At 34.7% G+C, this 19,506-nt stretch overlaps 1 long non-coding RNA gene across 3 annotated transcripts in view; it reads left to right on the forward strand.

Annotated features, from left to right (window-relative positions):
• LINC02699 (long intergenic non-protein coding RNA 2699) overlaps window positions 1–19,506 on the forward strand; it is a 470,852-nt gene that overhangs the window by 317,951 nt on the left and 133,395 nt on the right. For 2 of the 3 annotated variants that reach the window (NR_183693.1, NR_183692.1), the window contains 3 exons: window positions 6,144–6,241; window positions 8,931–9,072; window positions 10,079–10,470. The exons of the other annotated variant lie outside the window; for it this stretch is intronic. This is a non-coding gene — a long non-coding RNA (long intergenic non-protein coding RNA 2699). Of the gene's footprint in view, window positions 1–6,143; window positions 6,242–8,930; window positions 9,073–10,078; window positions 10,471–19,506 lie in introns of those variants that run through there. 3 annotated transcript variants of the gene reach the window in all.

Raw genomic sequence — 19,506 nt, forward strand, 5'->3', positions numbered from 1 at the left:
GATAGATAAAGTGTGGTAAATCTAGACAAGGAAATATTATTTAGTACTAAAAAGAAAAGAGCTATCAAGCCATGAAAAGACATGAGGTAAACTTAAACGTATATTTAAGTGAAAAGAAGTCAATCTGAAAAGGCTGCATACCGTATGATTCCAACTATATGACATTCTGGAAAAGACAAACCTGCAGAGACAGGAAAAAGATGAGCACTTGTCAGGGGTTAATGGGGAGAGAGGCACGAATAAGCAGAGCGTAGAATATTTAAACACAATGAATCTATCCTATATGATACCATAATAGCAGTTACATGTCACTAAGTATTTGTCCAAACCCATGGAGAATACAGCAACAAGAGTGAACACTAATGTAAACCATGAAATTTGGATAAATTATGTGTCAGTGTAGGTTCATTAAGTGTAACAAATGTACTATATTTGGCCTTCTGTATCCATGGGTTCCACATCTGTGAATTCAACCAACTATAGATAGAAAATGTATATTTTAAATTGTATGTGTGTGCTGATCGTGTGAAGACTTTTTGCTTTGTCATTATTCTCTAAACAATATAGCATAATGACAATTTACATAGGATTCACATTATATTAGATATTATAAATAATCCAGAGATGATTTAAAGTATACATGAGCATATGCATAGGTTATATGCAAATATTATGCCCTTTTGTATTAGGGACTTGATCATCTTTGGGTTTGGGTTTCCAAAGGAGGTCTTGGAACCAATTTTCCACAGATACAGAGGGATGACTGTACACTGGTCGGGGATGCTGATGATGGGAGAAAATATGCATGTGTGGGACCAGGGGGTATTAGAGAAATCTCTAAATGTTCCTCTCAATTTTGCTATGATCTAAAACTGCTTTAAAAAAATTAAGTATTTAATATAAAAATGAAAAAGAAATAAAAAGCAAAAGAAAGAAGCAATTATGCCATGAGACTAATAGCATTTCAATGTATATTCTCCCAGTATCTGTCTCTGAATATTTTTGTATTTCTCACTTCTCTGTTTCAAATTGTCTCTGTTTGCCACTTTCCTCATATGTACTTTGATGATCATAGGTTCCTCAATTTTCCTCCTTCTCATTCTAATGGTTCTATGCCTCTACATTTTGGATGTTCCTGAGACACAGAACTTCGTAACTCTCTTTCAGGATCCCTGAATTTAAAGCCCTAAATACAGAGTACTAGCCATGTGCCAGGCCTGAACTAAGTTGCTTGGGTTATAAAAATGTATCAGACACCACCACTGCTCTCAGAAGCCTGACATCTGGTTATCTATCTCTTTGTTTCGAGCATATTACTTTCCTTAGACTCTGTGCCAATTCTGGCATGAGTCCATGGCCTGATTTAAGCCAAGGTATAGGCTTAGATCATATTTAGATCAGTTCATTCAAGCTTTTAATATTATTGTCAGGATTTTGAGGGAGGGAATTCTAGACACCCAGATTGCATCCTCTCATGTTATTCAAATAAAATATTAATATACTTGTAATAAAATGTAGGTTGATTTAATCTCTCACTTATTTTAACAGTTAATTTTGGACTTTATACTAAGAGTATTTATTCTTCTTAGAAATAGTTATTTTAGGACCAGAGAAGTAGAATTCAATGAGAAAAGATTGGAGGATCTTTCTCATATCAGGTTTAAAATTTTAGAACTACATACCCTACTTTCCATGTACGGACAATTTTCATCTTGCAGAAAGGGTATAGCATTCAACTTTCATTTATTTTGAAGGTTGTTCTCAGCCTCTGTCTATCCTCACTTTCAGCATTATTAGAACCTCCAAGTAACAAAAAGTGAAATGACAGGATCGTAAATTCTGAGATGTAGAAAGTCTTTTAAAGGTCATATTGCCCTACATATTATGGAAGGGGTGAATAACTTCTATACCATATAAATTCAACAGTCGACTGAGTATTGGCAAAGAATTTGTGATCAGGTTTTACTCATAACTTGTGCTAGAAGTGAGGCCTTAGACAAATCGCTTCTCTGAAGTACTGTTAAATTATTCTGAAGTGTGGCTCTTATCCCTATCTTGCCCATATACCACAATTACTATGACAATTAACTTTGTTGTAAAATTTCTGGATAATGCAATCTAACATAAAAAAATGAACAAACCAACTATGTAATTTGTAGTTAGTTATTTCAGCTATAAAAGGGTAGCACTCCCTCAATCTTAAAAATAATTTTAAAAAAATGTTTCTTAAGAGTCAGATTGCAAGGTCTATATATAATTGGGCAAACAATAATGTAGTTTTTGTTTCTATAGATGTATGTATTCTGGACATTTTATATAAATGGATCATACAATATGTGGTCTTTGGGACTGGCTTATTTCACTTAACATCTTGTTTTCATGACTTAGCTTGGTTTAGCATGTGCCAGTACTTCATTTCTTTTTTATTGTCAAATAATATTACCATGTTATATTTATTAATATATTAGCTGATGAGCATTTGGGGTTGTTTCTACTTTCTGGCTCTTACGAATAATGCTGCTATGAATATCCAGGTATATAGCTTGCATGAGCATATGTTTTCACTTATCTTGCATGTATACTTATGAGTGTTTTCATTTATCTTGGGCATATACCTAGGCATTGCTGGGACATATATAAATCTACGTTTAATATTTGAAGACTTGCCAGACTGTTTCCTAAAACACCTGCAGCATTTTACATTCCCACCAGCAAAGTACGAAAAGCTTCCAATTTCTCTACATCCTCACCGACAATCAGTTTTTTATTTTAAATGCTATAGTTACAAAGAAAAGTTTTAGAATGAATTAATGCTGTGATTTTAATCACAAAGATTAATTTTGCAATAAAAATCCCTGATAATTATGATTATATGTGTGTGTTTGTATTTCAACTGAGAATTGAAGGTTGAGAACTTGGATTGAGACTATATTTGAAAGGTAAATTTCTTTCCATGGATATTATGAAGCCAAAGAATATGAATGTTTTAATTTTAGATATATAAAATTATTTTTTCCAATATATTGTCTCAATGTGTAGTTCAACTAAGGCTTCCCAGACCCTTTTCTTTCCTCAGTAACATGAAAGAATACTTGTAAAAGTTGTGACTGGCTTTACTACTTAATTAGAGGTTCATCATTTAATACAGTGGCACATATTGAACAAGAAAATGTTTGTACTTTTTTTTAAAAAAAAAGAAGAAAGTTAAAATTGTCAAATAGAATAAAGGCTTTTATTAAATTTAATAGGGGAAGAAGAGAAATTTTATTTCTCTTCTGTTGTAGATTCATAGATTAATCAGTGAAGAGAAATTTACTACCAGCTTTTATCTTTATTTCTGCACTTTGTTGCCTATCTCCAACTGACACACTGCTCCAAGAATACTTTACGTGGATTGAATAGCTATGCTGAGACATTTGTGTTTCCATAATGTAAGTGGATTTAAGGGTTATGCAATTATCCAAGAAACAGAGGAACAGTGATGGTAAATATAAAAATGCACACCTGGGGAATAAGAATAACCCAGTGTGGGCCTCCCTCTAATGTCTCTGGTTGTGGAATCTCAGCAAGTCTCTTCTCCTTCCATGTACTCAGTTTTTTCAGCTTTGATGAGAGAGGAGAGGTCTGCATAAATTCCTCCTGTTGTTACTATGAATCTCACGCTGAGGAAAAGATTTTAGATACTATTAGACCTCTCAGCCGTAAAGATCTGACTTGAGAATTCACCCTAGCTTTATTGCCACCAACTTCCAACATCAACATCTTTTAAATACAAACGAAATGGAGGAAAACACTGCATTTGACAGCATCGTTTTTCTTCTTAGGACTAGCTCCTTTACAAGATTTCCACTACAAAGCAGATTTTAATCCTGCCAATCCCTCAAGTGGCATTTTCTCAATATTTTATATGTTGAGGGAAAAAACCAGCACTTTAACAGCCATAGCACTGCAGATGATGGAGTTATGATTCAAACTCTTGGCTGTCTGACTTTGGTCCCTTGTAAAATTTTAGTGTATAGCAGGACAATTAAAATCCCATTCCACCAGTCTGCATTCTGCCTCAAAAATCAATCCAAACATTTCAGAACTTACATTTATTCATGTTAAGACTCTATCTTCCCCAGATATAAAAATGTATCCAAGTTGATGATTTGACAGATTTAGGGACAGAATAGTTATATCTAGCCACATTAGATGGATAGCAAAATTAGCTGAGACATTTCTATTCCATGTTGCTAAGGAGAATGAGTCAGCCTCAGTGGAGGAATCAGATTGTGAAGGATGTGTTTTCTCAGTCAGAGCAGGAAATGAAAACTTACGGAAGATTTTCTACTCATTCAGAGTATTCCTTCAGCTCTTACCTTCTGCTTTGTATTACAAGTGAGAAATAAGTATGTTTAATTATTACAAAATAATATTATAATGTGGGCTAGTTAACTTGTGGTAGTTTCTAACTCTTGTATCTTATTTATATTTCTAAGTATTGCAACTAGAGGGAAAATGGGATAAGGTAAATGAAGGGTCTATAATTTATTTAACAAATCAAAATCTCTTTCAATCCTTCTTTCGCCAAAATCTTTCTCTCTCTCTTTTATGCCTCACCATTGTTTTGGCAATCTCTGGATTATCTTTTCCTGCAAATATTGCAATCAATTACATTTTAAATCCACTGTCTATGTTATTTGCAATACATACTCTGGAGAATTACAGTCTGTCTTAAAATGGGTATTGATGGGAAATGAACCTGCTTTGTTCTTTGCCTTTGCCTTTTAAATTCTAGTTTTTAAACTTTATCCTTTCAATTCTATTCTGCCTTTTAAATATCTTAAGCCTTGTCAATAAAGCAGCTTTATGAAAAGAGTTTCTGGAATCATGGGAACATGGAAAGTGCTTTGGGAGTTTTTATTCCACCATTCCCAGAGATCTTTTACATATTTGACATTGTGTTATTATGTGTCATTAACTCAAATGGATGTAACAATGTTGCAAATAGAAATACCATGTGACATCTTTCGGTTTTTTTAAATTCTTACAAGCAGGTCATGATTAACAAATTTAGAGAAAATGACAAAATGTAACCTCCCACACTTGTTGCTAAAATATGAAAAATTACATGCATGCAAAATGATCAGTTGACATAAGAAAGGCAGGTAGTAAATATACAAAAGTGAAAATACTCACCTTTGTTAAGTGACAATAATGTGTATAAATGTATATTTGAGATCAAATTATGCATACAAATGTATATCAAGGAGCTGGTTTTTACGCTAACACATTATTAAAAATTACAATTGTTGAAGCCATTGCTACCAAAACACAGTAAAATTGGAGCATGCCTATACTTTTTGCGTTGTAAGGTGGTATAGGCTTTTTGAAAAAACAAGGCAATATGTACCAATATTTCTAATTACTTCAAAATTTGTCACCAAGGGATTTATCCAACAATTATAGCAAAACAGAAGCAGAAAACTTTATGTGCAGAAATGTTCAGTAGTATATATTTAAAATTATGAAAAATCGAATTACATAACACTGAAATTTATGCATTAATACAAATGTCACTACATATCTGTTAAATTATAGTTACTATAAATATTTTTTAAATCCTGAAGAAAAGCCTTTTATAATGCTATGCAAAATCATAAATTTGTGTTTGTATAATAGTTGCAATTTTATGTTTTTGTGTGCATATGTATATTTTTACATCTTATTTTTCTTTTCAGAAGAATGAGAATATTACCTCCTTCATAATCTTATTCAAGGATTAAATGTGACAATGCAAATAAAGTGCTCAGTTCAGTGTCCATCTCCTAGTAATCCTTCTATGGATGCAGTCTATTATTTCTATTTGTTGTAAACTGACATGAGCCAATTTGAACCTCACCACCATGTGTTATTTTTGGAGATGGGGCAGACAGCCTCTAAAATGGTTTTTAGCGACCTCACCTTTTGATATCCATGTCCTTGTGTAATCCTCTTCTCCTGAGTGTGGGTTGTGCCTAGTGACTCATTTGTAACAAATAAAATTCTATAACAATGATGAAATATCTCTTTTGAGATTATGTTAAAAAAGACTATGATTTTCTCTTGCTTGTCCTTTCCTGTTCTTTCTCATTCTCTTCCTCTCACCTTCATGGATCTAGATATGTCACCGTGAGATTCCCTATGCAGAGGCCCATGTGGCAACAAACTGATGTGTCCTTCCAACAACCAGGCCTGAGACCTCACAAGACCCAACTGGGTAAGCCTGGAAGTGGATCCTCCACTCATCAAGCCTTGAGATGATTTCAATCAACACCTTGATTGTAAACTTGGGAGACACTGTGATTCAAATTCAGATGTCACACCTGAATTCTTAAACTATAGAAACAATGAGATAAAAAAAAAAAAAAACTTGTATTAAGCTACGGAGCTTTGGAGTAATTTTCTAGGAAGCAATAGATAGCTAATAGATTTCACTGGTTTTATAGAATTATGGTTTGAGGATTCTTAGACACTATCCCCATGTAAGGTAACATGTTTAAATGGAATAAAGTTTCAATTTAGATCTTGCCTAAAAACTTTCAATAGCAAGAAGACACAAACACACATACACATACACACACACACATATGCACTCATACACAATAACTATATGGCCTTGTTGTTTAAATTTGATGAAATTTTAGATCTTAAACTCATGAGAACTCCACCAAAAACTTTGTGTGAAAGTAGTCTTGAGGCAGATGCAACAATTTGTAACAGACATCTCAGCTAATTTTATGGTCAAATTAGGTAATATCAATTCTCCAGTGCATTGCTGTGCATAGAACATCCTGAGGTGATCAAAATATATTATGGTATATCTTGTCTATCCAACACTGTAGCCACTAGGTACATGTGGCCTTTCAGTACTTGAAATGTAGCTAGTGTGATAGATATTAAATTGTATGTAGTTAATCTTAGTGAATTTACATTTAAATTGCTTCATGTGGCTAGCTTCTATCAGATTGGACTGCACAGCTCTAGTAGGTGGTGGGACAAAAGAACCACATCTGAGTTCTAGACTAAGAGCACCAAGGGGAAAACTGGCTGCTAAAACTAACTAGATTTTTACATTCTTAATAATGTCAGAGTACAGAGTACAATATTTCTAACAAATCCACAAATGTTAATATCATTTATTTCATCAATGAAAAAAAATCTATCATCACTTATTGTAATTAGCACAGTCTAGTGAAAATTATATAACCATATTAAAGCACTTGTAGAACAATATCCCTGGAGAGTATATTGTTGATTGGCAAGGTTCCAAAATTAACTTCCCTAGATAGAGGAAAGAACTAAGACATGCAGGCATTGTACACTACTTATACTGAAGTTGCTTAAAGCACATTGCAGATAATACAATGAGCGTAATTAGTATTATTATTTACAATTTTATTTCGTGTAGAAGTAGAGAATTGATAATTACACAACAAAACCCTGGGCATTTGCAGTGAGAAGCACGGGAGACCTGATTTAATCACACATGAAATAATAGTGGCAATAACTTCTTCAGAGAATAAAATCATTTTGTAGAGATAATTCTGTTTAGATATGATCCTCCTGCTGAAAGGCAGCCTCTATTATCTCTCCAAGCTGCTGAGCCACAGAGGAGGTGGTCCAGATAGCTGTGGCATGCATTCTTAAAGAAGAGCAGACTCTCCTCATCTTATGATTTATTGAATGTGCACAGTAGCTAGTAAGGACCACACTAGACAAGTCAATACACCCAGTGAAGATCTGGATTGATCTACTATATGCTGAGAGACACATTTCTTTTAATTAATGCAGATGCTGCAGTGCCATTTCAATGTAAAATGATGTGAGAATTTGAAGATTAGTGGGTAACATAAAATTGTGATGAATTAGAAAAAAAAAAGATGCTGGTAACATCAGGTCTGTGCTATTTTCCTTTGTGATATCTGCGCAATGGTCTTAGTTTTTACCTGGAGGGGAAGCACTAGATATTAATATGAAAACTTACTAAACCTTATATTTAAAATATGAGATCTTTCTCTATACTTACACATGCACACACATATGCACACATGCTTACATTACGATTATTGCATATGTATACGTGCCTATATATAACGTTATATGCACACATATGTTTATATACATATATAGCATCATTACATATGGTTTTGTAATATATATTTGCATGTATTCTAATTTTATATGGGGGCTTAGTTTCTCATTGTTTCAGTGACTTCATTTTACATTGGTCTTAATTATCTCTTTTGGTATTGGTAAATATATATTTAATCTGCTGCCTACAAAAGGCAGCAACATTATACATATTTGTCTGGGTTTCCTCATCTGTAAGTTGAGTGTAATAATGCCTACTTCATAAGGTTATTATTAGGATTATATATAATCCTATTATATATAATAAATAATAATCCTATTTTATATATATAATAAAATATATATATTAGGATATATATATAAATTGTTTGGCACAAAACAGTTGCTTTGTGAGGAATAGCCATATCATCATTTATTTCACTAAAGTAAAAAACATATAACGTGTGCAATAAACACATTGAATTTCCACTATGAATACTTTGTGTTAAAAATACACATTAGTTTATTGTTTATCATAACTGTGATGTCCAATTATAATTTATTAACAATCTCAACTTATTTTGATGATAGACTACTGAGAAATGTTATGGTATAATTTATTAAAGATGATCACCTTCAACTCTTACTAGTAAAATTTTAAATAATGACTTAAACATTTTAACCTAAATTTATTTTATTAGGAGGTAGTTAAGTAAAAATATTCAACATTCATATAAAAAGGAAATTATTTACATACAGATAAATGACTTTTTTCTGGTGTTACACTAAGGAATATGGGTACATTTAAAATAATTTTCAGCATTTTCTTGGGACAGATCTCCCAGACAGAGCAGGCAGAACACCATTTCTGCTGCCCCACAGCCCTCAAAGTTGTTACTCCCCGACTCTGGAAGGTTCTCAGTGACTAGAGACTGGTGCGGACCCCCAGCACAGTGTAGCCACCCCCATGAAAACGTGGTAAGACTATTTCCCATGTGGGTTCACTTCTTACTGGGTGGGTCATCCTGGCCTGAGGCTCCAGCACAACTACCCTGCCCCTGCCTGAACACCTCAGTCAGAGGCAGTTCTGAATTTCTGTTAGAAGGAACTTCAGAGACAAACCACAGCCCCTCTGCCTTTGCAACTGCAGGGCTACTTCCCTGACCAGCCTCAGGCTGGGGAAGGAACAAAAGGCCTGGTCATTACTCTAGCACCTCCAGCACACAGCAGCCATTATACAAAAAGAAGCCCAGTCTCCCTTCCCTGTGAGCTCCTATACCCCACTCATCACCAGGCAGGGCCCCCAAGATCAAGACAGCACAAGAGCCACCCCACCCCAAGCTGAGCATACCCACAGGTAGTGGCTCTGTGTTTCCCTTGGGAGGGGCTTCCAGAGGCAACTGACAGGCCCTCTAATACTGCAATGGCAGGGGTTTTGCCCCTGTAGCCTTTGGTCTGATGAAGAAACAAAGAACCTGAGGGCTTCATTTGTGCCTCCAGCACATCACAGCCACCACAGGGAGAGGAGCCTAGTGTCTCCTCCCTGGGAGCACTCAACACCCCACCTCTCATCCCACTGTCTTCAGCAGGTAGAGCCCTCAGCTAGAGCCAGCAGCTCAGTCATCCAGCCCCTGGCTGAACATTCCTGGTAACACTGGCTTCACGTTTCTCTGAGGTAGAGCTCCCAGAGACAACTGAAAATACCTCTATCCACTGCCACTGGATAGTATAGAGTATAGTAGTACTATCCTTGTTGTCCTCAGACTGGAGAAGGAGCAAAGCCCCTTGAGTGATTTAACCACACCTCCAGCAAGCTGCAGTTCCCCTAAGAAGGAGAGGCCAGTCTGTCTCCCTGATGACCTCCCTACTTGACCTCCCTGACCTCCCTACTTAGGGGCAAGATCCCCTAACTTGGGCCCACAGCACAACTGCCCCCACCCCAGGCTGATCACACTGATCGATAGTGCTTCTACATCTCTCTTAGGGAACCCTCAAGAGACAACTGAAAAAATCTCTCTCACAACCATCATCAAGATCCCATTCCCTGCTGCCTCCAAGCTGGGGAGAGAACATAAAGCTTGAGCTCGCCTCAGACCAGTGGTATACAGCTCAGGACAGCCAAGGTGAGATCTGCAACCAACACTCAAGTGGAAGAGGAGCACACACTTTCAGACCACTGAGGGGGTGCATGACTGCAATCATGAGCAAAATACAGATGAGCATGTGGCTGAAGAAGAGTCTACCTACTGGCCATTATATTTAAGCACCATCTACTGCATCACAGTGTAACATCAACAGCAAAAATACTTTGTTAATATACCCCCTGGGGAACTAAGGACAATAATTTAACTACAAATAAAGACCCTACCTAAAGCCTTAGCCCTCTGAAAATATCCAGAAAAAAAAGTCTACTGACTGTACTCAAATTACACTGCAGTTAAAGGAACATCAACCCACACAGATAACAAAGAAACAACATGAGAACTCTGGCAACTCAAAAAAGCCAGAGTGTCTTTTTTCCTCCAAATGACTACATTAATTCCCCAGTAAGGGATCTTAACTTGGCCGAAATGGCTAATATTACAGAAATAGATTTCAGAATATGGTCAGGAAGGAAGATCATTGAGATTCAGGAGAAAGTCAAAACCCAATCCAAGAAATATAAAGATTACAATAAAATGATACAAGAGCTGATACACAAAATGGTCATTATAAGAAGAATGAAACTGACCTGATAGAGCTGAAAAATGCACTATAAGTGTTTCATAATGCAATTGCAAGTATTAACAGCATAATAGACCAAGCTGAAAGAATATCAGAGCTTAAGGACTGGTTCTTTGAAATAACTCATTCAATCAAAAGTAAAGAGAAAAGAATAAAAGACGAATAAACAAGACCTCTGAGAAATATAGGATTATATAAAGAAACCAAATCTATGACTCATTGGCATCCCTGAAAGAGCTAGGGAAAAAGCAATCAACTTGGAAAACATATTTCAGGTTATCACCCACAAAATCTTCCTCAACCTCACTAGAGAGGACAAAATTCAAATCCAGGAAATTCGGAGAACTCATACAAGATACTACAAAAGACCATCCCCGAGACACATAATCATCAGATTCCCCAAGGTCAAAATGTAAGAAAAAAATGCTAAAGGAAACTAGAAAGAAAGGACAGGTCACCTACAAAGAGGACCCCATCAGGCTAATAGCAGACCTTTCAGTAGAAACTCTACAAGCCAGAGGAGACGGGGGCCTATATTCAGCATTCTGAAAGGAAGAAATTCCAACCAAGAATTTTGTATCCAGCCAAACTAAGCTTTGTAAGTGAATGAGAAACAGAATCCGTTTTAGAGAAGCAAGTGCCGAGGGAATTTTTTACCACGATTCTTGCCTAACAAGAGGTCCTAAAAGGAGCACTACATATGGAAAGAAAAGACTGTTACCAGCCACTACAAAAACACACTTAAGTACACAGACCACTGACACTACAAAGCAACCACACAAACAAGTTTGCATAAATAATAGCTAACAACACAATAACATGATCAAATCCACAATATAAATATTAACTTTGAATATAAATGGGCTAAACGCCCCCATTTAGAAGGCACAGAGGGGCAAGCTTGATAAAGAAGCAAGATATAGTTAATGCTGTCTTCAAGAGGTCTGTCTCACATGCAGTGACACCCATAGGATCACAATAAAGGGAGAGAGAAAAATCTACCAAGCAAATGGAAAGTAGAAATTACCAGGGTTTGCTATTCTAATTTCAGACAAAACAGACTTTAAAGCAACAAACATTTTTAAAAAAGGAAATTACATAATGCTATAGGGTTCAATTCAACAAGAAGACATAACTATCCTAAATACATATGCACTCAACACAAGAGCATTCAGATTCATAAAGCAAGTTCTTACAGACCTCTGAAGAGACTTAGATTTCCACACAATAATAGTAGGAAACTATAACACCCAAATGACCATATTAGACAGATTATCAAATTAACAGGGATTAACAAAAAAAATTAACAGAGATATTCAGAACTTGAATTTGATGCTTTACCAAGTAGACCTACTAGACATCTACAGAGTTCTTTACGCCAAAACAACAGGATATACATTCTTCTCATCACAACATGGCACATACAGTAAAATTGATCAGAAAATCAGACATTTAAAAATCCCTTAGCAAATTCAGAAAAACTGAAATCATACCAACCACACCGTTAGGACACAGCACAACAAAAATAGAAATCAATACTAAGAAAATATCTCAAAATCATACAACTACATGAAAATTAAACAATCTCCCACTAAATGACTTTTGGGTAAATAATGAAATTAAGGTAGAAACCAAGAAATACTATGAAACTAATGAGAACAAAAATTCAACATATATTTGGGACATAGCCCAGGCAGTGTTAAGAGGGAAGTTCATAGCACTAAGCACCAACACCAAAAAGTTATAACAATCTCAAATTAACAACCTAACATCACGAGGATCTAGATAAAAAAGAAAAAAAAAATACCCGAAGAAATAACCAAAATCAGAGCTGAATTGAAGAAAAATGAGATGCAAGAAAACATACAAAAGAGTAATAATTTAGGAATTTCTCCATGAAAAAATTAATAAGAGACAGCTAGCTAGACAAATAAAATACAAAAGGGAGAAGAGCCAAATAAATAGAAATAACAAAGGGGACATTGCCACTGAATTATAGAAATACAAAAAAAAAAAAAAAACTCAGAGACTACCATGAACACCTTTATGCACAAAAAGTAGAAAAGCTAGAAGAAATGGATGAATTCCTGAACACATACAACATCCCAAGATTGAACCAGGAAGAAATTGAATCCTTGAACAGACTAATAATGAGTTCTGAAATGGAATCAGTAATGAAAACCTACCACTACCAACAACAAAAAGCCAGGCAGATTCATAGCTGAATTTTACTAGATGCATGAAGAAGAGCTGGTATCATTCCCACTGAAACTTTCCCAAACATTGAGAAGGGTCTCATCCCTAACTCATTCTACATGGCCAGCAACATTTTGGAACCCAAACCTGATAGAGACATAACAACAACAACAACAAAAACCTTCAGGCCAATATCCTGGAAGAACATAGATGCAAAAATCTTCGACAAAATATTAGCAAACCCAATCCAGCATCACATCCAAAAGCTCATCCACCACAATCAAACAGGCTTTATTCCTAGAATGTAAGGTTGGAATATACACAATATGCACAAATCAATAAATGTGACTCATCACATGTATATTTCAATAGCCGCAGAAAAGGTTTTCAATAAAACTCAATATTAATAGGGACAAGAAGCAAACAAATTCTAGGCAGAAAAGGGTGGATCCTTGGCAAAACCCCACCTTCAAGCCAGAAGGCCTGAAACCATAGCACAAAGTCAGAACTTATATCTCTGCTTTTCCACTAGAATCCTGCCTTTTCGTAAATCACGCATGGCCACACCTTACCCCATCTTGTGCCTATAAAAACCCCGCATTCAGCTGGTAGATGAGACTTAGTGCCATTTCAAAGCAGTTAATATGATAATATTAACCAGACAGTCAACTATTGTATAACATTTCATGGAAACAATTTCTGCTATCTTCAATCTGAATTTAAGAAAATAAGGGCTACCAAATTGTAGAAGGTTGAAATTTGTGATTAGCGCAACAGACAGTTATGCTATAATTAGCAGTCACACAGACACATGTAAATATCCCTCTCCCTGAAACTGATCTTCCAAGCATTGAATATTCATCATGCTTTCCCAAGCTACTCATATTATGTTTTACAATAGCACTGCAGAAAATTTTGTTGTAGAATGTATAGAACACATTAACAGAACATGCACCTAGGGGTAACTATCAGTCCTACAGACCAAGGTTACCAGTATATGCTGTGGTGCTATGCACCATACATAATCTTATCAAATCCAAAGGTTAGGGTATGGAAAAGCTAAAGTAATTCCTTGGTTGAACATAACATAGTTTTCTGTCTTTTTTTTTCGAAATAGAAATTTAAGAACCTTTTTTCCACAAGAACATAATTTTTCTTATCTTCTTCTTAGAGTATTTTCTGGTCTTCTTAGAGTATTTACCAGTAATATTAGGAAACAATTTATAAGCTGCTATGCATAAGTGTAGTGTCTTTCATGATTACTGCCTTAGTGCCGTTAATTGAAGAAACAATAATCTTCCAGAAAAAGTTTTCATGGTTAGTACTGTTTTACTTCCTTCTTCCCTTTCTCCTTTTCTTCCTTCCTTGTTGTTGTTTTGTCCCTGTTTTTCTTCCACGCACACATGCGCATGTGCACAAACACACACAATACACAGCAAATTGGAAGCTTTCATGTTTGTTTTATTGGGACTCTTATCAGGCTTTGAATTTAGCTCAGACTGGATGCAAATCTTAGACCTGACAATCAGCTTTGTGACTCTGGTTGTATTACATAGTTTTATAACAAATTACACAAACGAAGATGTTTTAGACAATGCTCATTTATTATCCCACATTGTCCATAGATCAGAAGTCTGGGCATAGTAGAGTTATCTGCTCAAGGTCTCACAAAACTAAAATAAAGGTGTCAATCAGGGCTACTCATCTGAAATTCAGGTTCCCTTTTAAGCTCATGAGGTTTTTAGAAAAATTCATTTCCTTGAAGCTATGGAATTTATGGAGGCTGTTTCTGCAGGGCCAGCAAGGGAGAGTTACTCCGACCACCAGACTTTGTTTTAAAAGCTTACTTAGCTAGATAAGCGTAACTAGGTAATTTCATTTTTGATTAGCTCTAATTAGAGACCTTAATTCCATTTGCAAAATTCGATTTTGCCACGTAACATAATCACAAAAGTGATACTCCCTCATATTCAAAGATCTCACTGACACTCAAAGAAAGGGTATGATATACAGATGTGGATCATTCAGAGTAATGTATTTATTCTGCTTGACACTATGAGCAAACTGCATAATATTTGTTTGCTTTTTAGACTCCTAACTAGCATGCTCTGAAAAATTACTGAGAAGAGTGAAAGATTAAATACTATAATCAATATAAGCCAGTCTATATTGCTGTAGTAGACATCTTTTGGATGTTTGCATATTCACTATGTCACCTTTTTTTCTGGAAAGCTCACCCTCTTTCCAACCTCCAGGTGAAAGACTCTAGAATTCCTAACCCTGCCCAAATGCTACAGTTGGTTGAATGGCTAGTCTACAGATTGCTCAGATACTCAGGAATTTGGAACTGGGATACATAGACATCTTATGACTGTGATTGAGGGAGATGTGTGTGTTGTATGTACAAGAAGCAGAGAAAGTCTATTTGAAAAGAGTGAGCACAAAATTGCATTACCAGCCTAACAAAATTCAGTCTCTACTGTGTAAATTCAAGGCTTTAAAATTCTCACTCATCTTTTTCATAATCAAAATTATTTGGCTGTTGCAAGAACTGGCAGGTGTATAATAATTCCTTGTATTGTTCTCTGCTCCCTTTAGCTTCTGGTTTAGGGTTATTTATCTTGTCAGGTCCCTACAGCTTTGCAGTGCCCTTCACTGGCCCCTATTTGCAAGGTTCACACACTCTACATTTTGTTGTCCTCTCTTCAGTTTGCTTTCCATCCTTTACTACGAGTTTGTCAATTTCCATTGCCTACTTGGGGGACCATAAGGGTATTAGTAGATACTTCTCTTTATTTCATGTTGAAATGTATAAGATCTGGAGACCTTCTGTAGTAATTATGATTTTATTGTTTAGCACTAAATACGAAATGTATTGTTCAATTAATTTCTAGTGTGAAAATGGAAACTAGTAATAATTAATCTGGGACAAGAAGTGCAATGGTATTTTCTCTGTACATTGGAAAATATGATCGCTGTGAAGTAGAATACAGTGTTGTAATGTGATACACTGCAAGCTAACCACATTATCTGCAAAGACTGTCAAGTAATGCAAAATCACATAGGGGTTTAGCACTGGAAAGATCAGAATGCCAGACTCTTTAAAGCCCTGTAAATCTTCGTCTTTCCAGAGCTGGTCCAACTCTTACTACTTAGAAGGGGAAAACTAGAACTAAATGAGTTTAATTTTATAATCACTTAATGCAATTTAATTATTTTAAATAATTGTATATTACTTTGCAACCAGCAACACAGTGAACTGTTAGAACATTTTATTGCAAAAAGTTTCTTTGTTCCTGTTTTAATAATTCATTTTTAGAGATAAATTTTATGCCTTCTTCCTTCAAAACTTTAAATTTTAATGTTGCGATAGAAGCCTTTTTTTCAAGTTCCTGACTCTTACAATTGAAAATAATAAATTTTCATACTACTGTCTCCACTGTTGATTTATTAAAGTTAAAATAGGGTGGAAAAAATTCAGAAACATGACCCTTTATGTTAATTTGCATAATCTCATCCATAGAAAATAAGTCTCACATCTAGGTTTAAGTAATTAAGAGAAAATAAGTGGAATTAGTAAGAAGAAAGTGAAAATGTAATAAGTAATTTTACTAATAATATTCGTCAAAATTATTATAAAAATTTATAAAACATCAATAAAAGGTAGACTCTAACGGCACTTTGAAAATATTCATATATTGTTGAATTTACAACTTTTGGACATTTGTATTAATTCAGGTTCACCTAAAGAAGTAGAACCACTTCTTTGTTTCCCATAAACATTATAAGAATAATGTTTAAGAATAAGAATAATTTATCTATGAATTAGATCTTACACACCAGTGGGAGTTGATAGAGACATGAAGTCTGGAAAGGTAAATCAGAGGATTGCAGAAAATATCCTTAACATGTCTGTCTGAAGTACTAGCTTGGGTAGACAAGCTGCATCATAAAAAACAGAAAAGGAAAAGTACATCAACTGAATAAAATAAAATCATGAAAGAGGAATATATATACAAGCCTTTGGGGAGCCATTACCTGTGTGTATGTACTTCCTCTGTGAATCTCTAGCCAAGCATCTATTGATGCTCCTGGTACCACTAGTATTGAACACAGGAAGATAAGTTGGATGCAAAGTCAGGAAGTATTAGTTCAAATGGAACCCAATGAACATCTTTGTGATTATTGGTTCTATATCTAACTTCAGTGGCCTCTCAAGTGCAATGTTGCTGCTTCTATTCTGCAGTACAAGTCTCATGGAAATTCCTTTTTTGGACATTCTGACTTGAAACCATATAGCAAAGATGGTTCTGGGAAAGCTTCACAAACTGATGTGGTATAATACTTCAAAATATCAGTTGAATAGAAATTAATCATGGACAAAATCAATACCAATGATAATATCAATAAAACCAGTAAGTTACAGTTAGTGATTTAGAGGTCTATAGTATGGAATGACATGGACATAGTGTTTACACATGAATTTCTTTTTTTCATATAATCATGAAGGAAATATAAAAGAAAAATAATATTTATTAAAACATAATAGATAAGCCACTGTACTATGAGATTTTGATATATTCCCTCTTTCAAACCTGAAAAAAAACTATGCTTAATTATAAATATTCACTTTTACAATGTGTCAGATTTAAGGTTAAGAATCACATATGAACTTTGATTTACTTCATAGTTATTTTAGATGAGATAGGTGAAACAAAACTGAGAAAACTGAATTTCATATCAATAGCTCTCTTTGAATCCTCCTTATGCTAAAAAGACAGTAATAGATATGGCATTGTAAACCTCATTCAGTATATAAATCCAATACTCAAGTCCTCATATAATTCACTCACCAGTGAATAGAAGCTGAAAAGTAATGACAATGAAATATTCTGAATTTGCAACCTGCTTTTGACATTTAGAGACTTATGACCTTGGATAAGTTACATAAATGTTTATAAATCTTTATTTTCTCGTCTGTACAAAAAGGATAATAATATTACACATTTCACATGTTGTGAGAATTAAATGGGAAGACAATTTCTCACAATGCCCTAACAATATTAAACATTCAAATAATGCCAACTACTATGAATAAAATAAGAATATAAAAATTCTATCATCTATCTATCTATCTATCTATCTATCTATCTATCTATCTATCTTTCTTTCTTTCTATCCATCCATCCATCCATCCTCAACTTCCAAGAGACTCCACAGAGGCAAATGAAATGACAAACTGCAAATATCATCAGCAGTCCACCAGTTTTGAAAATAACAACACCCACAGTCCTCTATATCATTTTATTCTCATCTAAATTAAATGTTTTACTTTACAACCTGACATGCCTTTTATATCGACCTCGATCAAAAACCTTCCAAAATAAGATTGATTAACAAAACAATTTTAAAAACACCATCTGCCTTGTCTTCAATGAATAATAATTATGCCCATTGAATATGACATTACTATCATTTATGGTAATTTGGAATATTTACTGTGCTTTGCATATTACTTTACAATCAAAATATTAGAAGCCTTTATAACTCTGTGAACCATGTGAAACTCAATGAGGCATTTCTTATAAAGCAGGATAATTTTGTTGTGAATATCTCACTAAGCTGACTTAATAATAATTTGTCTGCATTCTGAGAACTGATCTCAGCAGCTTTTATATATATGTGCTTTGAATTGTGAGTCATTTAGAGCACTGTAAAAATATAGCAATGCATTCAGGGTGTCAATGGCTCCTTGAACAAATTTAAACTAGTAAGAAAACCCAGATGATCTACTAGTAATTGTGGGAATTGCTTTTCATTAAATTTAATATTGGACAAGATTGACTTTGTTCACTATCATGACATGGACTTATTGTCTATAGTATTCTAGTAACATTACATGGGGGTGCTCCTTTTCCTTTAATGAAGCAACAGGATGGAAAAACTAGTCATACCATTTTATGGCTGAGTGCAACAAAACTGCTGCACCTAACAGAGTATCGATTGAGGCAAGCAAATATATGAAGAAACAGTTGGGAACAGTCCCAGGACACCTGAGAAGTTAAGTGGCATTGCATGTTAGATTTTTGCAAAGTGTTCATGCAATTCCCTTAAGAATTGCTGTTACACCATTTCAGGTTATTTCCTTAGAATGAATATGCTGACAACTACCTATAAAACAATAAAGAGGTACTAAGAACAGAAGTTCCTCTGGCCTTAACAGAGTCCACAGAGTACCAAATGACTTTTTAAGCAAGATTATTTTTTTCCTGTAATCTATGGATAAAATATGTCCTAACTGCTATCTGTGGAACACATATTAAACAAGCTATTTGCTTGAATCATCTCTTGAATATCCCCTACTAGAGGTAATTTTTTTTCTTTTCTATAAAAAAGAAAAATTAATTTTGAAATATATGTCAATAAGTAAGCTAAAATTTATTAATGTCAGATTTTCATAGGTGCTCAACGAATAGTCACAATTATTATTTC

The sequence above is a fragment of the Homo sapiens genome, chromosome 11 (assembly GCF_000001405.40).
Source record: "Homo sapiens chromosome 11, GRCh38.p14 Primary Assembly".
In the NCBI taxonomy this organism is placed as follows: domain Eukaryota; kingdom Metazoa; phylum Chordata; class Mammalia; order Primates; family Hominidae; genus Homo; species Homo sapiens.